The 25,202-nt window shown below is 41.3% G+C and overlaps 1 pseudogene; it reads left to right on the top strand.

The window, feature by feature from the left end:
* Nucleotides 1-16,954: 16,954 nt before the first annotated feature.
* LOC107987327 (X antigen family member 5-like) lies at nucleotides 16,955-22,248 on the top strand (annotated as a pseudogene).
* Nucleotides 22,249-25,202: the final 2,954 nt, after the last annotated feature.

Raw genomic sequence — 25,202 nt, 5'->3', positions numbered from 1 at the left:
ACTTTCTCAGTGTCACCAGCACTGAGTGGTGGAGGCACAGGTCAGAGGCATCATGGAAAACTCTATTGTGCTGCATATTTGTGCAAGGGTAAGATCTGAAGGGTAAGAGCCAAAGGCTATAGCAAAATATTTAGAATTTTATAGCATGGGACTGCACAGGCAAGAGACATTTGATTTCTTCAGAAATAGTTAAGAGATGGAGACTTGAAAGGATTGGCCTGGGTATGATTTGGAGACAGTGCCCTGAGTGTGTCATTACCATAACGGCAGCATGTCTTCACCTGAAGATCTTGGGTTTGTACATCAGAGAACACAAAAAAACCTGTCCCTTCTATACCTTCACAAAGGAGAAAGAAGCTGTGCAGCTGGGAAAGGAGACTACTCCCCTGCTCTACTAGTTCTCAGACAAGTTTCCATGAAAGTTGGAATCCAGGATCCTTTAAAAGTGAAGATTCCATGATTCACACCCAGTGAGTCTCATGTAGTGTGGTCGGAATGGTGCCCTAGGATCTGGGAATTTACTGCCCAGGCTAGGGAAGTTTCAGAAAACTGATTAAATCCCTTAGGTTGCAAAACTGTCTGCAATATACCCACTCTTCCCAAGACAGACATGAGGTTGAGAAGAGAGACCTCAGAGCACACAGGAACACAAGACATGATGAATGCAGTGTGAGACTCACCATAAGGGTAGGGCAGAGGGACTTTTGAGAAGGCCTCACAACTCCATCTGGCCTTTCTCCCTGAAGACCTCAGTTTATCTCAAATCCCTTCTCTTTGTGGGTGGTGAATGGAGGGAATGCCAGAAAATAACCCTTTAGATTCCAAAATTGCATGGACTTCCCTAAGGGACCAGTGAACACATAAGATGGGAGGTGATGGAAGCTATCGTGCTCCTCCCACCAGCCTTGGATCTTTCTGGTACCATCGTGTCCATCCATGGGAGCCTAGAGCAATGTCAGGACTTAGGGCAAATGCCTTCCCTTCAGTAACAGACACCTGCACCTCCTCTGAGGAGGTTGTCTCCCTTCTCCTCCCTTCAGCTGTCCTTCTCCTGATCTCATCTGTGATCCCACAGCAGACAGCTGTCCCTGGTAGCCTGATGACCTAGCCTGGCACCTTGCTCTTGTGTCCCAGCCTGGAGAGGGCTATCCTCATCAAGAAGGACATCAGTCCCAGGATCTCAGAGCTATGACTACCACAGAACCATCTGAGTATTAATGTTCATGGCAGTGATTGACCTTTGAAATGAAGCTTCACCACCCATCGCAGCTGGCCCTGAGACACTTTCTTTTATTTCTGTTTTATTTGAGATGGGGTCCCACTCTGTTGCTCAGCCTGGATTACAGTGGAGAAATCATGGCTCACTCCCACGCTCAAGCGATGCTTCCATCTCAGCCTCCCAAGTAGCTGAGACTACAGGCATGCTCCACCATGCCTGGCTGTTTTTCAAAATTTTTAGTAGAAAAGGGGTCTCCCTATGTCCCCCAAGCTGGCGGGAGCCACCACGCCTATCCCTGAACCACTTTCTTATCACAGAAAGCAAAGCAAGACAGAGGAGGAAGGTGCCTGTAACCCCTCCCAGGGACATTGTGTCCTCCTCCTTGGTGCCCTGTTATTTCCTTTGTACCGACCACAATATCCCTACTCTTTTTATGTAAACAAGAAGTTTGAGGATACTTCTTTTCAATCATAAACTTGTGGCTTATAGCCAGAATATCGTTACCTACTGGGCCATTTTGGACTTTTCTGAGTGCAGCTGTGGTTGTTGGAATGATTGGTAGGGGCTGCTGGCATTTGGGGAATGAGTGTTACAGGGAGGCAAACATCTTTTTCCAAAGTCTTCCATAAACTGGATTTTCCATACATGTCACTTCCCTGTAAACTGAGGGAGACTTGTATGTTGCTTCATCTAAGAACTTATAAAGACTTATTGACTGCTTCAGAAATCACATCACTGCAGGGCATTCCATTCTTAGATTGCACTCCAACACAACATTCCAGCATCAGTTTTCTTTGTATCTGTGCATTCCTGGGGAAAATAGAATAAGGGGAATCCAACATACCTACGAACACGATCATTTCCATGATAAGCTCTTTGTTGATGGGGAAATTTATGTGGGAGATGTTGGTAGTGTGATCTCTCATGAGTTGGTGAACACACTGGCTATGCCCGTTGCTGTTACCGCTGTTGCAGGTGTATCTCCCTCACCAGGCTCCAAAGTCCTTCTTGGAAGGATGGAAACATACCCAGTAGATCTCTGTGCCCTCAGGATGGAACAGAGGACCTCACATGCAGAAGGAGGGCAGAGAACACTTGTAGAATTGTAGTGACCTCTACATGGTTAGATGACCAAACCCTGAGTCGCAGTGACGAGCAGCATGGATGTCAGTGCATGGGAGGGGAACACCACAGGCCTCTGCGTTTGGAGCCATGCAGCAGAGTGAGATCAACCTGCAGTATCGATCTCAGTTATGCACTTTAAGGGCCCCAAATATAAGCAGCCTATTGGTTAGGGTTCTTCTGTGTGTGTGTGTGTGTGTGTGTGTGTGTGTGTGTGTGTCGTGGGGTGGGCTGTGCACCCAAGTATTTATGTGAGTGAGTAGAGAGAGAGAGAGAAAGATTGAGTTTGAAGACCTAGCTCATGCAGCTGTTGTGACCGGGAAGTCCAAATCTCGCAGAGCAGGATGTCAGGCTGGAGACCCGGGGAAGAGATGATATGAGAGCTCAAATCCAGGGGCAGTGTGGAGGCAGAATTTCTTCATCTTGTGGAGAACCGCAGTCTTCTTCTCTGAAGGCCTTCAAGGAACTGGATGAGGCCCACCCACACTGGAGAGGGCAATTGGGTTTACTGAAAGTCTGCTCATTTAAATGTTAGTTCTCCTAAAGAAAACCCTTCACAGAGCATCTACCCTGGTCAAAGTGAACATTTCTCATGCATTGTGGCGTAGCAAAGTTGACACATCAGCTTTCCCATCATAGCCATCTTATACAAATCCTAATAATGATGAAGGCCTATCTGACAAAGGCAGGTGACTTCCTAACTAAGATTCTGTATTATCCATTTTTGTCCAACCCAAGCCAGCATTTCAGGGTCATAACAACTCTGGCCAGGAAGCCGAAGCTGATGTGAATGCCTTCCAGGGATGAGGCAGTGGTGGGATAGTCAGGGCATACAGGTAAGAACAATCCCAGAGGGCACAGGTGATACCCCTGGACACCAAGAGTTTACCCTTGTTAAGGCACCCCCAGCAGGACATACAGTCATCAGGCAGGAGCTGGCCAAGGCCCCCAATGTGGCCTCCCACTGAGGGACCTTTCCCTCTAGGGTTCTTTGTCCAGTCCAAACAATTGATTTGCATCTTTCATTTAGTGGAACTATCAGCAGGCAGTCAGTTCAGAGTAGTCATTGACACTAGTTCTTCCTATTCACAAGTGTGAATGACATCCCTAGGTGTTCTATGTGGGATGTTCAGCAGCTGGGTCACCCCTGCTGCCCAATGGTCACAGCTCGGTCAGATGTAAGTTTGGGTTCAGGATTCAGTGTGGTTTCAAAATTGGCCTTAGGTTTTGACTGTGGGCTCCTCACAGGCAGAGAGACCCACCATCTGTGCTGTTACTGAGTATCTCCAATTCAGTGTAGTACTGTGGGAGTAGCGACACAGTGTTGACACAATGCCGATCTTGCTTTTGTTCCGTCTGCAAGTAATCAACCATTTCGATCCATTTGGCCTCATTGTCTTCTTACCCACCAAATCTATGAATATATGACAAGACAAAATAACAACCGCACTGGCGATCCTTGTGTCCCTGTTAGCCACCACAGGGCTGCTTAGGGACTGCCTGAGCTCTTGACACACGATGATATTGAGTTGTGTGGTGTTGACTGACTGGAGTAGACTTATTCTTCATGGCTTCACACACACCAAACAAGTTTTCAGCACGTACTACTGACTTAGTGTTGGCCTTGTCACACCTCGGTTATTTACAAATCAACTTCAAAAGCAATGCCATGTCTGATACCAGCTACAACTGCTATTTAATTTACATATTTACATCAAATCAGTTTCTGAAGTCAAATGCATTTTAAAAGGTAGACTAATATTCCTACTTGAAATTCCAAAGCACTTATCACATACTAGAGATGTAGTTGTAAAAAAAATGTGAAATTTTAAAGGGATTAAGGAAAGATAACTAGTAAATTTATCTGCAATGTAATGCCTGCATCTTATGTTATTTCATTTATTCTTCAAAGCAAGTATTTAGTCTAAATATTCTAATTTCTACTTTGGAAATGGGGAAACAGTCCCACAGGATGTAAGTATCTTGCCCAACATCACAAGGCCAGTGTTTGAGAGGCAGGATGGACACCCAAGGCTATGCCATGCCATTGCCTGTAAGGAGACAGTGTAGGTAGGATCCAAGTAATTTTGCTTCAGCAAATTGACCTAGTCGCTTTCCTTTTTCTTCTGCCTAGGCGCTAGTTCTTTCATCCAGCTCTATAGTCTAGGGAATTCTCACATATCTTGTGGCAAATGGGATATCCTAACGAAGGATGCAGATACAGAGATACACAGGGGAAGGAATGAAGGAAGAGGCAGGGGGCTTCCATGCCCTCTACGGGCATGCTACCCTCCATGTGTTCCGCTAGGCAGAAGCTCTATGAACCCTGTCCTTTTGGGTTTTGATGGAGGTTTTCATTATAAAGGCATGATTGATTAAACTGTTGGCCCGCCATTGGCAATCAACTTAACCTTCAGCCCCTCTCCCTGTCCTGAAGGTTGGGGATGCAGCTGAAAGTGCGAACCCTCTAAGCTCCCATCCTAGAGCTACCTAGGAGCTGCCAGCCATCAGTCAACTCACTAGCATACAAAAAGACGTCGCTATGAGGCGATTCTAAAACCTGTAGGAGCTGTATGACAGTAAGCAGGGTCCAGGACCAAATATATATATTTCACAATATCACACATGTGTATACCAGCTCAATCAGAATGCAAAGTTGCAAAAATGATACTATATTTTATTCAGACAGAGTCGCATTCGCCCAGGCTGGAGTTGCAGTGGTGTGAACATGACTACCTGCATCCTCGACCTCCTAGACTCAAGGGATCCTCCCATCTCAGCCTCCAGAGTAGCTGGAACTACACCTACAAACATACATGCATACATTCATGCATTCATTCATTTATTTTTGTAGAGAGGGGGTTTTGCCATGTTGCCCAGGCATGTCTCACTCTCCCAAGCTCAAGCAATCCCCTTGCCTCAGCATCCCAATGTGCTTGGATTACAGGCATGAGCCACTCCACCCGGCCAAAATTTACAATAGGGTCTAATATGCGAGAATAAATGAACAAAAGATGTGTGATACTTATTTGGAGAAAACTGGAAATCTTTATTGAGATTTTTAAAAGTCAAATATCTCGGATAAATCCAGTTTGCATTCTTTCAGCTTGCCTTTGTTTAAAGCTGTGGTTGCCCTTCCCCTGCAATAGAAACACAACAGGAAGGAACATTACTAGCAGAACTGTATTCAGATGAAATTAAAGGTATACAAAGGACACCAAAATTTTAGTTTTATACATTGGACAAAAACCAGAAGCCTAAGTAAGAGTCACCCTATGGCTAACATTCCACTAGACCTCTGTAGAGACTTTGAACATAACACCTCCAAGCATACACATTAAACAACATTTTTTAAACACACCCCGCTTTTGGTGCTAGAAGGAAACCAAAAGACAGTCTGAGACCAGAACACATTAAATCAAGTGAACCTATTAAAAGGGGCTTAAAGTAGATAGCAAACATTGTGTAGAGTTTTACTCAAAATGCAACTAAAACACAAAAAACCTAAGCAACCGAAGGAATTTGTGAAAAATATATAATTTAATGTTTTGGCTTGAAACTATCACCTGGATGTCCAATAGGCTCCTGCAAATAGTCTGAGAAGTATGTTTTGCCATAATGTAACTGAAAACAGTTATGATACATTAGGAAATACGTAAGTGAAGTGAATAGAAGGTCCAGTATTGCATTTGTTTTTTGTCTATTGTGCAGAAGTGCAATAATATTGCTTTGGGCTAGTTTACCCTTCTTAGTCCTTTTTTGACATACACTAACCATTTGCATCCAGTTTTCACCTATAGTCATTATGTCAATATGAATAATGATACATTTTTCACCGGAAAGTATTCCCATTTGTATAATTAATTAAATGGTAATATAAGTTTTAAGATATCACTGTCATTATTGACATTAAAACGTGAAACAGTTATACATCATAAGCAATGTGGCAAAGAAAAAGAAATGGAGAGGGAAACAAAATCGGAGAGTAACACATCTGGAAAGCTAAATATTTGCTTCTAAAAGTGACTGTTTTTGGCTGGGCGCAGTGGCTCACGCCTGTAATCCCAGCACTTTGGGAGGCCGAGGCAGGCAGATCACCAGGTCAAGAGATCAAGACCATCCTGGCTAACACGGTGAAACCCCGTCTCTACTAAAAATACAAAAAATTAGCCAGGCGTGGTGGCTGGTGCCTGTAGTCCCAGTTGCTCGGGAGGCTGAGGCAGGAGAATGGCATGAACCCGGGAGGCGGGGCTTGCAGTGAGCCAAGATTGTGCCACTGCACTGCAGCCTGGGCAACAGAGAGAGACTCCATCTCAAAAAAAAAAAAAAAAGGTGACTGTGTTTTGAGGTACAACTGGCAAATTTCACGTCCTTCCACAGTCTTTGTGATGTTCAGATATTCAGGTATTTCAGGGATATATTAAATAGTGTAGGCATTCTGAGCATATCAACCATATCATCCACACTCTGAAAACATTAGTGTTCAAGAATGTATTCCCTTTCAATTATGCCCTACATTCAATATCTGTGTCTTGTTCATATTCTGTGTTGTGCCTTTTCCATTTTCTTCAAGATTGTTTAATCTACTGGATGCTCTTCCTAGCTATTTCTCAAAAGAACATTCTATTAAATTTATTAATATCAAATTAGTTTTCCTTTTGTTAATGATGCATACCTTTCATTTACTGCCTTTTTCCCTTAAGTTTATTCTGTGACTCTTATTATTTTGCTCTTTCTTAATATTATTTTCTTGTATCATGGAATTTGCTATCTATTTTAATAAGATATACATTTAATGCTATGACTGTCCTAAGAATACAACTGAGGCTTGTTCAGTAGCCTCCTGGAAATCATCTGAAAACAATCTTTTAATGTTAATAGCCTAATGGAGTGGTTCAGAAGTGTGGAGTAAAAACATTTAGGTAATTTCTCCCCTAAACATGCAGTGCTTCCTTTAAATTCAGAAGTTCTTCTAATTAAGTCAGCAATTTGGAAAACATGTGTAAAAGATACTTACGTGGACTACTCAGGACTTAGTATGTTATAGTCTTTGAACTTTAAATCGTATCTTCTGATGACTCAAGGCAGAAACCTGTAATATATAACCTCTGATATGGTTAGAGGTTACCATATGTGTCTTCAATCTAATTATACACAGTAGCTCATGAAGACTGACAGGAGGGCAGGGAGCATGCTTAGCCCAGGCATCTTACAAACACCTTGAGCATCACTGACCTACATGCATGCTCCCTACTTCTTGGGTCACAAAAACTTGACTGTCTCTTTCCATTTTATTATTCAGTCATTCAAGGTCTCACTGCGGGAAGACTTTAAAATGCAATCACTGGGTCCAGCAAGGGAGGTGGCTCATGCCTATAATCCCAGCACTTTGGGAGGCTGAGGCAGGTGGATCACTTGAGATCAGGAGTTCGAGCCCAGCCTGGCCAACATGGTGAAACTCTGTCTCTACTAGAAATACAAAAATTAGTCCGGCGTGGTGGCACACACCTGTATTCCCAGCTACACAGGAGTCTGAGGCATGAGAATCCCTTGAAACCGGGAGGTGGAGATCACAGTGAACCGAGATCAGACCACTGCACTCCAGCCTGGGCGACAGAGTGAGACCCCTACTGAAAAAAAAAAAGCAATCATTGTTTAAGAGCCTGAGAGAATTCAGGATTTGACAAAATCCAAGAACACTCATGAAGGTCTCCATACAGGAAAACAAACATCAAGTAGAGTGCCAGCTCATTTACTTAGGAGCAATGAAATCTCAACTCGGATATTATAATTGGACTGAAGCTGATGGTTATGATAAACAAATCACGAAAATGAAATTATCTTTGTATTTTCTCCAACAGAACCGAAACATGCAGAAATCAGCAATGAAATGATTTTAATCTATCTGATGTGCATTCACTACTTTCAATAAAAGCAAAAACCGGTGCAGGATTTATGTGTTTTGTCCAGAATCTCACAAATTATCTTAGAGCTGGTATTAGAATCTTCTTCAGGGTCAGCATATTTCATACGAAGTGGTATTACAAATGTATTATGTATTTGTGAAAAGCAGAAAGTAGAAAATAATCTACAAATTTTTAGCTGTTGGTTATACTCAGAAGTAAGAAAATGCTTTTCTTTTCTTTTCTTTTCTTTTCTTTTTTCTTTTCCTTTCTTTTTTTTCCCCCCGAGATCGGAGTTTCACTCTGTTGCCCAGGCTGGAGTACAGTGGCATGATCTCGGCTCACTGCAACCTCCACCTCCTGGGTTCAAGCAGTTCCTCTGCCTCACCATCCCGAGTAGATGGGATTACAGGTGCCTGCCATGAAGCCCGGCTAATTTTTTGTATTTTTAGTAGAGACTGGGTTTCACCATTTGCCCTGGCTGGTCTCGAACTCCTGACCTCAAATTATCCACCCGCCTCGGCCTCCCAAAGTGCTAGGATGACAGGCGTGAGCCCCCGCTTCTATTTGATGATTCAATATGGCTTTGACCCAGTTTGTGTCTGTATCTGATAGTCTTTCAGTTTTGCAGTCAGGCTTCTGGGGTCTCGACTACCTTCCCGAGAAAGTCTGCATTTGGACTCTGTTTTTAAAGGGGCAGTAATGTTCTCTCTTTTCATTATCAAAAGTGTAATATTATGGAATACAGAAAGCACGTAATTTTGAATCTTAATGGATAACATACCTCCTTCTGGCATTTTAAATTGCTCTCATTTTGTCAGAATCTTCCCCCTGGACACCAGGGCCAACTCCACATTCATCCCCAGTCTTTGACTGAGACAGCTTCTGGAGATCAGCTTCCAGGTCAGGTACTAAAAAATACCAAGGATATCGACTGGAGCAGCCAAACCAGAATGATAAATAAGGAAATGATCCTATTCTTTTCCTCAGTGTGATGCAATAAAAGCCTGTAGGCTACTGTGGTAATAAATGTGATGCAAAGATGTCCCCGTTTGTTTTCCTGTATTATGATATCTTAACTAACAATCTGAGGATAAATCACACCACACCTACATTTCCCATACTTTTTAACATTGTGTGTTATAAACACTCAGCTACCTAGGAAATCTGAAGTATCTCAGCTACCTAGGAAATCTGAAGACTGCCCCGTGGATAGCATTTTAATCATACCTTAAATATAATGTTCTGAATGATTAGATCAATGTACTGGTCTGCTTATGACAAATCTTATAGTCCTGACACTAATTCCCTGTTCAGGTACCCTGAAAGTGTTGGGGTTAAACTTAATTAATGTTTAGGTCCAAAGGCCCTATATGTCATTAAGAAAAAGTACCTGATACAACAGCAAAACCACTGTCTTCCAATGAGAGTACGGGAACTGAAGTGCAGAGAAATTAATGGGCATTGTTGACAGTCATATTCTGGAAACCCCTTAACAGTGAATTGCTAAAATAATCCATGGCCCAAATTCTGTCTATCTTTAGTTCGAAAGTGCTATCTATTCGTTGAGGAAACAATTTCTGTTTCACGATAATCTTATTGTACTTGGAGTTTTCTAATTATAAAAATATTGAAACAACTTTTAAAAGCCCCTTCAAAGTCCTACTGATATAGTTATCTGTATTCCAGTGTCCTGAATTATCCACCTTTTACCAAACATACTGTCAAAAATAGGCATCAGAGGAAACAGTGGCTGTCATTTATTGGCCTCTTTTCTGGAGACGCTATCCTACTTCACTGAACTGCGTTTTGTCCTGAGTCAATGCTGAGTACCTTACAGTGCAGACATATTTGAGTATTAAGCATTTTTAAGCAAAATCATTCACATTTTCTGACATGGATGGTGGGAAGAATGCAAACCTTGGAACAAAATATGAATTCCTCCTCCATGAGTCAAGTGTTCTTGGTAAGTCTCAATCTCTGAGCCTCATTTTTCTGTTATTTATTTATTTATTTATTTATTTATTTATTTATTGACACAGAGTTTCATTCTTTTTGCCCAGGCTGGAGTGCAATGGTGCAGTCCCGGCTCACCGCAACCTCCACCTCCTGGATTCAAGCAGTTTCTCTGCCTCAGCCTCCCGAGTAGCTGGGATTGCAGGCATGTGCCACCACGCCCGGCTAATTTTTGTATTTTTAGTAGAGACGGGGTTTCGCCATGTTGCCCAGGCTCGTCTCGAACTCCTGAACTCAGGTGATCCACCCACCTTGGCCTCCCAAAGTGCTGGGATTACAGATGTGAGCCACTACGCCTTGTGCAGCAAGGGGCATGCACACTGAGTCAGGCACATGCAGGGCCGGCCAGGGTTTTCCTGCTATCCCCACACCCTTATCCCAGGTAGTTTGTAGTAGGAAGAAAGGGACATGAGAGATTTTTTAAATTTTTTTTGTCTCTTGCCCAGCCATTCTCAGGCATCCAGAAACATTGAGAACAGAGAGTCCCATGTCACCCTTAGTGGAGGGTGTGTCTCAGAAAGACCTTTTGTGACAGAAATAAAGAATTTTATGTCTATATTTACACATACTGTTTTCTCAGGGTGTTTTTCTGTTGTCCAGGGTGGAGGGCAGTGGCATGACCATGGCTCACTGCAGCCTCCATCTCTTGGGCTCAAGCAATCCTCCTCACACAGCAACCTCCCCTGTAGCTGGGACTGCAGTTGGCCGCCACCACGCCCTCCTAACGTATTTAATAATTATTATATTTTAGATGCGGGGTGTCACTGAGTTGCTCAGGCTGCTTTCAAACACATGGCCTCAAGTGATCCTCCCATGCCTGCCAATTTTTATACATGCTGTAGACAATCAATTCACACCTGTACTTTTTTTTAAGGTTGTGTTATTGCACTTTTATACCTCTTGACTGGTAGCTGATTTCCTTGAATACCTGTAAGGTAATCACCGGCTCACCAATGAATGTGGTTTTAACAATGGCTCACAGTGGCTTGGAAAGCCCTCATGGGAAGTATTTCTGAGGAAAAGTGGAGAGTGTGCAGGAATAGTTTTGAAAAACAGAGACAACCGATGTCCTCCTTCCCTCCCTTGCCTCTCCTCATGTGCCAGGTTTTCTGTTTTCTCCACTATTACAGAATCACCATGTTGTATCCTGTGATGAAAAGTTTTTATCTCTTTAATCATCCCATTTCGTCCTCCAGACCTTTTTTTTTCTGGAAGGGTTGTAAGCAGAAGGGACGAAACATCTTCAGAAAAACACATTATGATATAAACTTAGTGAAAAGATTCATCATATTTAAGAAATGGACAGGATGAAATCCTGAATTCATAAAAATTTTAAAAATCAGTTTACATAACATCCATCCCTTTTGTCTCTATCCCTTATCCAGTGAGAAGTGTAGAAAAGATGAATTCCTCACTTGTGGCAACTGCATTAAGTAGTCAAACTGCTGGACCCTCTCCGTCAGTATCACACATCCAGATGTAATAGCCACAAAACACAAAGACATTTTACAACTGTACCTTTTTTTTTATCTCATTGTAATTTCCATCAAAACCCTAGCACTGAACTCAGCATTCACAGAGTTATGATTCCATGGCCAAGAGAAATCCTGCCTCAAATGTTGGGAGGAGGCTGCAGCAGTGGCAGTCCAGCTGAAGACAAGGCTGAAATGTGTCTTCACACACCCCACTCCCTTTTTGAGACAGGGTTTCTCTCTGTCATCCAGGCTGGAATACACTGGAGGACTTAGAGCTCACCACAACCTAGGAGTCCTAGGCTCAAGCAATCCTCCTGTGTTACCTTCCTGAGTAGATGGGACTACAGACATGTGCCATGATACCCAGCTAATTTTAAAAATTGTGTAGAGCAGGGGTCTCACTATGTTGCCCAGGCTGGTCTTGAACTCCTGGCTTCAAGTGATTCTCCTCCCTCAGCTTCTCAAAATACTGGGATTACAGGTGTGAGCCACTGCCAGTGGTCTTTTTTTCTCACTTTTTTTCCTTTATCTAAGACTTAAGTTTTATCTAAGGCTTTGCTTTAGCCCAGGAAACTGATTTTTTCCCTCCCACTTAGAGGAAAGAACAATTCAAACCTTCAGGATTTTTGGCCTACTGAAAGTTCATTGGCAACAATTGTATCCAGTCTCTACCTGCCTGCAGGAGAAAACAAAAATTAAAGACTGCGCTTTCCCCCCATATATTATCATGCACAGAACAGCAGTTGAGGGATCCAGTGAGCCAGTTCCCTTGCAGTTGGAGGGATTATTGTGAATGTTGTGAGTACAAGTATTTTTCATAATAGACAACAGCTCAGCTGCTGCTTCATACTATGGGGAAATCCATAGTCTCCCAGGAGTGACAGCTTCCTCATCTCTACCCCTTCGCTCTTCCCTTACTCAAAGAAAGTTTCACCATGTTGTAGTGAGTCAGGGTCCTGCTGGTGAATCACACGGTTGCTGACACTGTGTCAGGGACCCCCAAGGCCACCCTCACCTTCAGTGATTCATGGACATTCTCTGCTGCCCTTCTGCATACAATACTCCTAACTGAAGCCAGCCCCCTCACCTCAGGTCAGTATACCATGCCTCCCACCTTGTCATGGGCTTTGCTCCTACAGTGATCACTCCTCTCTCCAGAACCATCAACTGCTCCCTCTACATTGGATCATTCCCCAAGCTAAGGGAAAACTCACCCTCTTCCCCCATGTCCTTCTCTAGCTACGAACACATTTAATTCCTGCCCTGCAAAGGAAAACTGCATGAACTTATGCAACACACTTCACTGGAGTCCATTTTCAAAATTATCTACAAAGGAAAATGAATCAGAATATCCAAAACAATTCTGAAGTTTAACTTTGGGGAATTCACCCTACAGGAGGTCAAGATTCACATTAATTCTATTATATTTATTGATTGATTATGTTATCAGTGCATTGGAAGAAGGTGACTTCCCCCTTGGCTTGGGGATTGATCCAGTATAGAAGGAGCCGTTGATGGTTCAGGAGAGAAGAGAGATCAGTGCAGGAGCGGAGCCCCTGAGAAGGTGGGAGGCATGGGATCCTCAGCTGAGGTGAGGGTGCTGCCTTGAGTTAGGAAGCATTGCATGAAGTTGTTGATTATGATTCTTAATCATCCAGCCCCATATGGCAATTGTGTTACTTCTCCAGTATTCAAGACAGTGTGGTATTGGAGAAAAGTCAACAAATCAAAATAGAGCCAGCAATAGACTCACAAAACCTAATAAGTTGATTTTCAGAAAAGTGGCAAAGGCAAAGGAGAAAGATTACCTTTTTAAAATATTGTGTTGTTTTCCCCTGTCTCATGGCCAATATATTGTTTTTTATTCCTCTGGTTCCCTTCCCTGTGTTTCTCCTTTGCTCTTCTACTGCTGTTCTGTTTGTCTGTCTGCCCCACCACAGTCCGATATTTCCCACAACAAGGACCAAGTGTCTTTGTGGTATTTGAGATGTCCTTCCCATCAATGATAAACTGAATCAAGAAAATGTGGTACATATACACCATGGAATACCATGCAGCCATAAAAAAATGAGATCATGTCCTTGGCAGGGACATGGATGGTGGTGGCAGCCATTATCCTTAGCAAACTAATGCAGGAACAGAAAACCAAATACCGGATGTTCTCACTTATAAGTGGGAGGTAAATGATGAAAACACATGGACACATGGGAGAAGCATCACACACTGAGCCTACTGGACTGCGGGGGTGGGAGGAGGGAGAGGGTCAGGTAGAGTAGCTCGTGGATGCTGGGCTTAATGCCAGGGTGATGTGATGATGTGTGCAGTAAATCACAGTGGCACATATTTACCTATGTAAGAAACCTGCACATCCTGCACATGTACCCCTGAGCTTAAAGTAAATTTTGGAAATAAAAAATGTCAATATTTCAGAATCCTTCTTTCCATGTGTTGGTCATTGTGCCATTTATCTAAGCATTATGGTGACATAAAAGCTGAGGCGTAACAACAATTAGTATTATCAGTAATTTTCCAGGATTATACCCCAGTATGGTCTAACATCAACTACTAATATTGAATTGCATTTGACTCCTGGAAGTACTTAAGGAAAGTTGGTAAGAAAAAATATTCATGCTTGAAAATATTTTTAAAATTTGTGTAAATTGGATCAACACTGAATACCACAGATGTCGCTGTCACTGGATGCTAATGAAGTACATAATAGGAACTATAAGACACAGTCAATAATAAAGGGGCAAATAAAAGGGAACATATCAAAGCACTGTCAGACGAGTGCAGAAGCACACACATGGTCACACCTGCAGCTGCAGAAAGACATGGTAGGAAGTAAAGCCCCACAACTCATCAGCCTTCCTTCTCACCAGCTCATGAGTTCACAAATGAGTTTGCTGAGGGTCAAATGCCCACAGTAAAACTGACCAGTTTAAGCATCACTGAGTGCCATTTCAAGCATTATGTAGAAAGCCACAGACAACAGTGAACTTATTCTTAGCAAATCTTAATCCATCATCTTCACAGATGGCTAAAGAAATGGCCTGTAAACATTTTTTCTAATAACCACTAAAGTAGTGACGTTCAAACTCTTTTATGACAATGTGTGAGAAATACACAGTTTATATATAGTCAACTAGGCAAATAAATATACGTTTGTACATGGGGATGTGTAGTGTATTTGTATATTCTATATGCAGTGAACGCTATTTAGTAATATATTTTATCTCCATTCTTTAAAATGCTGTTTGTGGCTGACAACATTAATCTTACAACCCACTATGGATTAAAAACCAGTTTAGAAATGATTACAGCTTTTCAGAGAACATCCCCCATGGTTGATAAATGTTGCTATAGAATATATGCAAATATGCATGAGAACCCAATTTTGTCCACCTCCTTTGCAATTCAGTGTTTTTAGACAAAAATATCATCTTTGTTATGGGCCACAAAGGCTACTACAAAATATACAATTACTGATGAAATATGTGCTTCATCTGCAGATATCAGCGTCTGTTTTGCACAGGTGAAGTCTTACTTGGACAGATGGGAACTCACAGGCAAAAGGAACAGAAAATACATGTGACCTCTTGTCCTCTTGATATCATGTGGAGGCTTTGCTTGGGCTGCAGCATAGCTGAATGTCATGCATTGCATGCATTCACAGGGAGGTCCCTGTGTGACCTCCATTCCCTTATGGTGCTCCATTTTATGAGGCAAGTGGGAGAGCTACACTGAAAATGGTAGGTAGTAAATAATTTGGCCTCAACCACCAAGCAATCTGAGGTCACGTGACAGTGTTTACTCTGGTACCCTGAAACTTGCCAGCTGCTCAGAATCTGTAGACTTTGTCCCACCCACCCACCATCCTGTGGAAATCTATGTTTGGTCATAGATTCCCATGCATGGAGGATGGGAAGCTCTGGTCATGTGGGAAATTGAGCCCTCTCACAGGTAGACTGGCTGTGTTGGTCCCAGCTCTGTTTCCTCCCTTAGCAGCTAGAGAGTTGCTAGGGTCATGTATCAGGCAACGCTTCTTGTCTCTGCAGTGTCTTTCATACTGTCTGCTGCTTCCTGTTTGTCACAAGGGCTCCTTCACAACTTTCCCAATACCAACGCAATTATGATCCTTTGAAGTCATCCAGCAGGTCCGGAGTTATGGCCCACAGGAATGGCAGTGGGAAGTTCAAATTTGGCAAGAAATTCAAGCCTGCCCTTTGAAGCTGGAGTGAGGCCACTCAGGAATCATTAAAGTCCAGGTCTGCAGGTGATGTTTAATATTAAGTGTCAACTTGATTGGATCAAAGGGTGCAAAGTATTGTTTCTGGGTGTGTCTGAGAGGTTGTTGCCAAAGGAGATTAACATTTGAGTCAGTGGACTGGGAGAGGTAGACCCACCCTCAATCTGGGTGGGCACCATCTAATCAGTTGCCAGCAGCACTAGAATAAACTAAGCAGAAGAACATGGAAAACTAGACTTGCTGAGTCTTCCAGCCTCCAACTTCTCCCGTGCTGCATGCTTCCTGTCTTCGAACATCAGACTCCAGGTTCTTCTGCTTTTGGACTCTTGAATTTACACCAGTGATCTGCTAGGGGATCTCGGGCCTTCAGCCACAGACTAAAGGCTGCAATGCTGGCTTCAATACGTTTGAGGTTTTGGAACTCAGACTGCCTTTTTTGCTCCTCAGCTTGCAGACAGCCTATTTTGGGACTTCGCCTTGTGATTGTGTAAGTTAATACTCCTTAACAAACCCTGCTGCACATACACATCTATCCATCAGTTCTGTCCTTTACAGATCCCTAACTAATACAGTGTGAAACAGTAAAATCTAGCCATCTGATGGCTGCACATCCTGCACATGTACCCCATTTTTCCAATCACAGTATTCTGATTTTTGTTTTGTTTTGATTTGCTATGGTTTGGTTTGGTTTTTTTGAGAGGGAGTCTTGCTCTTGTTGCCCAGGCTGGAGTGCAATGGCGTGATCTCGGCTGGCTGCAACATTTGCCCCTGGGTTCTATCGATTCTCCTGCCTCAGCCTCCTGATTAGCTGGGATTGCAAGTACCCGCACCATGCCCAGCTAAGTTTTTGTATTGTTAGTAGAGACGATGTTTCACCATTTTGGCCAAGCTGGCCTTGAACTCCTGACCTCAGGTGATCCACCCACCTCGGCCTCCCAAAGTGCACACTATTCTGTTTGCAGACTGAAATATGAGTTGGCGAGGAAGATGATATAGACCAAGACGATGTTTACGACTTGCTCAGCTGATTGGGCCTATGCTTGTGAGTGACTTAACATTTGATGTTTTCTATTAGCAGAATTTTTTTTGTGTGATAGTGTTGTTGAATTAGTATAGATGCAATGATAAAGGTCTCCCATGTTGACAAAAAACCATTGCGGCATCTCATGAAGGAAACAGTAACCCAAGAGGACTACATACTGGTTTTTCCTGGATGTGGGAATTTGTGTTCCCCAGATTTGACTAGTGATTTCCTCCTCATGCTTATTCATAGCTCATTACACTAGCACATAGCTAGTGTTGCAGCATGTCTTTAAACATGCATATGATCAGAAGTATCTATGTAATCTGTATATTCGTATTATTGACATGCATTGATAAGAAAAATTTTTTATCTGCACGCGCACACACAAAACCCTCTTTTCCCAGGAGCCCAGTGTGCCAGAGCCTCAACAAGAAGAACCACCAGCTTAAAGTTGGGATCGTACACCTGGTCAGAAGACAGAAGAAGATCAGGGTGCAGCTGAGATTCAAGGTGGTGGGAAGGGAAAGAAAGAATGTCTATGGGGGGGAGGAGACCTATGTGTGCATCATGCCTTATGCCATGACCAGTAAGAGGAGGAAAGAAAACACTAGGAAAGGATCTCAAACATTTGCTGAGGGTTGGCTGGAAACGTGACGGGTATAGTTTGCAGCTTCCTGCAGTCCCTGGATATGATTAATCTTCTCTTTTTCTTCGAGATGCATTTTGTGGGCTTGAAAATACAGTCCTTCCTAAATCAGATGAAACCATTTAATTGGTTGTATAAAAATGTACATTATTTCACTAGTTTAACTTGATATTCTTAGGATGTTGCAGTGAGATCTTCTCAGCCATGGTGTTCACAGTGTTTTAAGCACCCTTTAATAGCATGTGGAGTGCCAAGTCGCCCTACCTTATAATACCCTGAATAAAGCCCATTTGCAAAGGGATGTTAACCTCATTTTATAAATAAAACTGAGGCCCGGTGTGGTGGCTCATGCCTGTAATCCCTGTGCTTTGGGAGGCCGAGGCGGGTGGATCACTTGAGGTCAGGAGTTCGAGACCAGCCTGGCCAACATAGTGAAACCCTGTCTCTACGAAAAATACAAAAATTAGCTGGGCATGGTGGCACACACTCATAATCCCAGCTGCTAAGCAGGCTGCAGCAGAAGAGTTGCTTGAGCCCGGGTGGCATTGGTTGCAGTGAGCCAAGATTGCACCACCGCACTCCAACCTCGGTGACACAGCGAGACTCCGTCTTGAAAAATAAAAATAAAAATAAAAAAATAAATAAGAAAACTGAGAATCAGAGGTTGAGACTTACCAAGAACACGACTCATGGAGAAGGAATTCATATTTTGTTTCAAGGTTTGCATTCTTCCCGCCTTCTGTTTTAGAAAATGTGAATGATTTTGCTTAAAAATGCTTAATACTTAAATGTGTCTGTACTATAAGGTAATTTGGTATTGGCTCAGGGCAAAACGCAGTTCAGTGAAGCAAGATAGCAACTCCAGAAAAGAGGCCAATGGATGACAGCCACTGTTTCCTTTGATTTATATTTTTGACCATATGTTTAGTAAAAGCTGGATAATTCAGGACAATGGCATACAGGTAACTGTGTTTGTAGGATTTTGAAGGGGCTTTTAAAAGTTGTTCTAATATTTTTATAATTAGAAAACTTCAAGTACGATAAGATTATCATGAAACAGAAACTGTTTCCTCAACAGATAGCATTTTCAGACTAATCAGAGACAGAATTTGGGCCATGGATTATTTTAGCAATTCCCTGTTAAGGGGTTTCCAGAATATGACTGTCAACAATGCCCATTAATTTCTTTGCACTTCAGTTCCCATACTCTCACTGGAAGACAGTGATTTTGCTGTTATATTTTGTATTTTTTCTTAATGACATTCATGTATGGAAAGTCACATATAGGGCCTTTCAACCTAATAATTACTTTAATTAAGGTTAACAACAACATTTTCAAGATACCTCAACAGGAGATGAGTGTCAAGACTATAGGATTTGTCATAGGCTCACCAATACATTGATCTAATCCTTCAGAAAATTACATTTAAGTTATGATTAAAATGCTATCCACGAGGCCATCTTCAGGTTTCCTAGGTAGCTGTGTGTTTATAATACACAATGGTAAAGTATGGGAAATGCAGGTGTGCTGAGACTTATCCTCAGATTGTCATTAAAAATAAGATATCATAATACAGGAAAACAAACGGGGACATCTTTGCATCACATTTATTACCACAGTAGCCTACAGGCTTTTATTGCACAACACTGAGGAAAAGAATAGGATCATTTCCTTATTTATCATTCTTGTCTGGCTGCTCCAATCGATTTCCTTGGTATTTTTTAGTGCCTGACCTGGAAGCTGATCTCCAGGAGCTGTCTCAGTCAAAGACTGGGGATGAATGCGGAGATGGTCCTGATGTCCAGGGGAAGATTCTGACAAAGTCAGAGCAATTTAAAATGCCAGAAGGAGGTATGTTATCCATTAAGATTCAAAATTATGTGCTTTCTGTATTCCACAATATTACACTTTTCATAATAAAAAGAGAGAATATTACTGCCCCTTTAAAAACAGAATTCAAATGCAGACTTTATTTGTAAGGTGGTTCAGACCCCAGAAGCCTGACTGCAAAGCCGAAACACTATCAGATACAGACACAAATTGGGTGAAAGCCATATTGAACCATCAAATAGGAAAGCATTTTGTTACTTCTAAGTATAACCAACAGCTAACAATTTTCAGATTACTTTGTAATTTCTGTTTCTCACAAATATATAATGCATTTGTAATACCACTTTGTATGAAATATACTGATCTCTGAAGGAGATTCTAGTACCAGCTCCAACACGATTTGTGAGATTCTGGACAAATCACATCAATCCTACACCCATTTTTGCTTTTATTGAAAGTAGTGAATGCATATCAAATAGATTAAAATCCATTTCAGTGCTGATTTCTGCATGCTATGGTTCTGTTGGAGAGAATACACAGATATTCTGATTTTCATGATTTTTTCATCATAACAATCAGCTTTAGTCCAATTAAAATATCTGAGTTGAGATTTCATTGCTCCTAAGAAAATGAGAAGGCACTCTGCTTGATGCTTGTTTTCCTGTATGGAGACCTTCATGAGTGTTTTTGGATTTTGTCAAATCCTGAATTCTCTCAGGCTCTTAAACAATGATTGCATTTTTTTTTTCAGATGGGGTCTCACTCTGTCACCCAGGATGGAGTGCAGTGTTCCGATCTCGGTTCACTGCGACTTCTGCCTCCCGGATTCAAGCAATTCTCATGCCTTAGCCTCCCGTGTATTTGGGATTACAGGTGCCTGCCACCATGCCAACCAGTTTTTTTATTTTTAGTAGAGACGAGGTTTCACCATGTTGGCCAGGCTGGGCTCGAACTCCTGACCTCAAGTGACCCACTCGTCTCGGCCTCCCAAAATGTTGGGAGTGATTACAGGGGTGAACCTCCTCCTGCGCCAGACCCAATGATTACATTTTAAAGTCTTCCCGCAGTGAAGCCTTGAATGACTGAGTAATAAAATCGATAGAGACAGTCAGGTTTTTGTGACCCATGAAGTAGGGAGAATGCATGTAGGTCAGTCATGCTCAAGGTGGTTGTAAGATGCCTGTGCTAAGCATGCTCCCTGTCCTCCTGTCAGTCTTCATGAGCTACTGTGTGTAATTAGATTGAAGACACATATGGTAACCTCTAACCATATCAGAGGTTATATTACAGGCTTCTGCCTTGAGTCATCAGATGATATGATTTAGAGTTCAAAGTCTATAATGTACTAAGTCCTGAGTAGTCCACATAAGTATTTTTCATACATGTTTTCCAAATTGCTGACTTAATTAGAAGAACTTCTGAATTTAAAGGAAGCACTGCACGTATAGGGAAGAAATTATCTAAATGTTTTTACTCCACACTGCTGAACCATTCCATTCGACTATTTACATTAAAGGATAGTTTACAGACGATTTCCAGGAGCCTATTGAACAAGCCTGAATTGTATTCTTAGGACAGTCATAGCATTATATGCGTATCCTATTAAAATAGACAGCAAATTACATGATACAAGAAAATAATACTTAGAAATAAAAAAAAGAGTCACAAGAGAAACTTAAGGGAAAAGGAAACAGGCAGTAAATGAAAGGTACGAATCATTAACCAAAGGAAAAGTAATCCAAATGTAATAAATTTAATAGATCGTTCTTTTGTGAAATATCTAGGAAGAGAGCATCCAGTAGCTTAAACATTCTTGAGGAAAATGGAAAAAGCACAACACGGAATATGAACAAGACACAGATATTGAATATAAGGCATGATTGAAAGGGAATACATTCTTGAACACTAATATTTTCAGAGTATGGATGAAATGGTTCACATACTAGGAACACCTACATTATTTAACATATACCTTTAATACCTGAATATCTGAACATCACAAAGACTGTGCATGAGCTTGTGAAATTTGCTGTTCGTCCCTCAAAACAGTTACTTTTAGAAGCAAATATTTAGCTTTTCCAGATGCCTTACTCTCAGTTTTCTTTCCCTCTTCATTTTTTTTTGCCATACTGGATATGATGTATAACTCTTTCACATTTTAATATCAATCATGATCGTGATACCTTAAAACTTATATGACCATTTAATTAAAACTGAAGCCCTTACTGGAGTAGAGCCAATTACCCTGTTATGCCCTCCACAGTGGAAGAAGCTCTCCTTAAAACTGAATCTGCAACAGAGATTCCCTTATAAAATGGTCTTCCCAGACTCCAGCTAAAATCAACCCTACTGGAGTGTCACATCCCATGAGCAAATAGCCACATGCCCTGCCCATAAGGCTAACTTGCCAAACCCCAGAAATGGCTTCATCCCTTGCTCAAGGGGAGCCAGAGGGAGGAAGGCCAGCACTCAAAAAACAAGAGAAGCAATGCTTTTTTTCCTCTCCCAAGTATATTACCTAGACAATGGAGATATAATTAGCAAATCCCTGTAGTTATTTTTTATATAATAACCTACGACAGGATATAAACTTAAAACCACATTTATCCTGAGTAGGATCCACTATAGTTACAGGTTTGGTGATTATAGGAAATGTCAAGACATTAGGGAAATTGAATTTTCCTTGCAGGATCCATGAACATCTTCAACCAAAGCAGAAATAGCCTAATCAGAAGAGAGGTGAGGGTTCAGGTCACCAAGTAAGGTTCAGTTGATTTGGGGTTGGAGGAGCTTCAAATCTTCTAAATCTTCGCATAATATAGCCCTGATAATTTAAATGAGACAGTGCTTCATAAACTTGGTTGAAATAAGAATTTCAATGGAGTCATAGTTTATTTAAAAAGAAAAATTTACCTCCAAGGGGCAGATGAAAGAGTCAGTGTTCCTCTTCTGACTGAAGGAGAAAACTCACAAATGTGAGTTTAATGTACATCTTAAAAGAAAACAGAAGCTGTGATCGGTGGTTCACATGTATAATCTCAACACTTTGGAAAGCAGAGGCAGGAGGATCGCTTTAACTCAGGAGTTCGAGACATGTTGTCTGTCATATGTGGGAGCTAAAAATTTTGATCTAATGGAGTAGAATTTTGGTGACCAGAGGCTGGGAACAGGGGGTGGGTGGGATGAAGCGAAGTTGGTTAATGGGTACATACAATTAAGTAAAAGGAATAACTTCTATTTGATAGCACAGTAGGGTGACTAATGGTAACAATAAATTATCATATATTTCAAAATGGCTAGAAGGGAAGATTTGAAATGTTCCCAGCACAAATAAATGATAAATGTTTGAGGTGATGGATATCCTAAATACCCTGATTTAGTCATTGTCCTTTGTATACATATATCAAAGTGTCACATGTACCCCATAAATATGTACAACAATGTATCAATAAAAAAGAAATAAGTAAACAAAATACAATCTAATTTACATTGGTGTATGTATACACAATGGAATACTATTCAGTCATATAAAAGAATGAAATCCCATCATTTGAGGCAACATGTATGGGCTTCAGATGTGTGAGCCTGGAGGACATTAAGTGAAATAAGCCAGACACAGAAAGATAAATACTGAATATTCTCATTGATATGTGGAAGCTAAAAGCTTTTATTTCATAGATGTAGAGAGCAGAATAGAGAATAGTAGACTCTGGGAAGGGTGGGAGATGAACAGGTAGAGTTTAGCTAATGGATACAAAATTAAGACTAAATAGGAGGAATAATCTCTAGTCGTCTATTTAGCACTGTAGGGTGACTATAGTTAACAATAATCTATTGTATATTTTCAAATAGCTATAAAAGAGGATTTTGAACATTTCCAACACAAAGAAATGCTAAATGTTTGAGGTGGTGGATATGCTGATTATCCTGATTTGATCATTACAAGTTGTGTATGTGTATCAAAATATCTCACTGTACCCTGTAAATATGTACAATTATTATGTATGAATAGGATATATGTACACACACACACACACACACATATGTCCTCATTTACTAACAAAAAGCAACTAGCTAATCAAGGCCCCCTTCCTCTCCTTCCCTTTCCTATATGACCTACCACGCTCATAAGTTATCTAAAAGTAAGTAATGAGAACTGAAACCACACACACAGCTTACTGCCTATATGAACAAGAGTTTACTATTCCACTGGCTTCATTAACATAACATTATTACTACAAGAATCTCTTGCCTGGGAAGATAAAAGTTGAACATAACTTTATTATTGATTCTAGGAACTGCTTAAAAGGCCTATCCACTGTTCAGTAAAAAGTGCCAAATGACAAACCCACAGCCAATATCATACTGAATGGACAAAAACTGGAAGCATTCCCTTTGAAAACTGGCACAAGACAGGGATGCCCTCTCTCACCACTCCTATTCAACATAGTGTTGGAAGTTCTGGCCAGGGCAATCAGGCGGCAGAAAGACATAAAGGGTATTCAATTAGGAAAAGAGGAAGTCAAATTGTCCCTGTTTGCAGATGACATGATTGTATATCTAGAAAACCCCATCGTCTCAGCCCAAAATCTCCTTAAGCTGATAAGCAACTTCAGCAGTCTCAAGATACAAAATCAATGTGCAAACATCACAAGCATTCTTATACAACAATAACAGACAAACAGAGAGCCAAATCATGAGTGAACTATTCACAGTTGCTTCAAAGAGAATAAAATACCTAGGAATCCAACTTACAAGGGACGTGAAGGACCTCTTCAGGGAGAACTACAAACCATTGCTCAATGAAATAAAAGAGGATACAAACAAATGGAAGAACATTCCATGCTCATGGGTAGGAAGAATCAATGTCATGAAAATGGCCATACTGCCCAAGGTAATTTAGAGATTCAATGCCATCCCCATCAAGCTACCAATGATTTTCTTCACAGAATTGGAAAAAACTACTTTAAAGTTCATATGGAACTAAAAAAGAGCCCGCATTGCCAAGTCAATCCTAAGCCAAAAGAACAAAGCTGGGGGCATCACACTACCTGACTTCAAACTATACTACAAGGATACAGTAACCAAAACAGCATGGTACTCTTACCAAAACAGAGATATAGACCAATGGAACAGAACAGAGCCCTCAGAAATAATGCCACATATCCACAACTGTCTGGTCTTTGACAAACCTGACAAAAACAAGCAATGAGGAAAGGACTCCCTATTTAATAAATGGTGCTGGGAAAACTGGCTAGCCATATGTAGAAAGCTGAAACTGGATCCCTTCCTTACAACTTATACAAAAATCAATTCAAGATGGATTAAAGACTTAAATGTTAGACCTAAAAACATAAAAATCCTGGAAGAAAACCTAGGCAATACCATTCAGGACATAGGCATGGGCAAGGACTTCATGTCTAAAACACCAAAAGCAATGGCAACAAAAGCCAAAATTGACAAATGGGATCTAATTAAACTCAAGAGCTTCTGCACAGCAAAAGAAACCACCATCAGAGTAAACAGGCAACCTACAAAATGGGAGAAAATTTTTGCAATCTACTCATCTGACAAAGGGCTAATATCCAGAATCTACAATGAACTCAAACAAATTTACAGGAAAAAAACAAACAACCCCATCAACAAGTGGGCAAAGGATATGAACAGACACTTCTCAAAAGAAGACATTTATGCAGCCAAAAAACACATGAAAAAAT

Source organism: Homo sapiens, chromosome X, assembly GCF_000001405.40.
Source record: "Homo sapiens chromosome X, GRCh38.p14 Primary Assembly".
NCBI classification, from domain to species: Eukaryota; Metazoa; Chordata; class Mammalia; order Primates; family Hominidae; genus Homo; species Homo sapiens.
The sequence above is the reverse complement of the archived record's forward strand: the minus strand, read 5'-3'. Positions and strand labels throughout refer to the sequence as shown.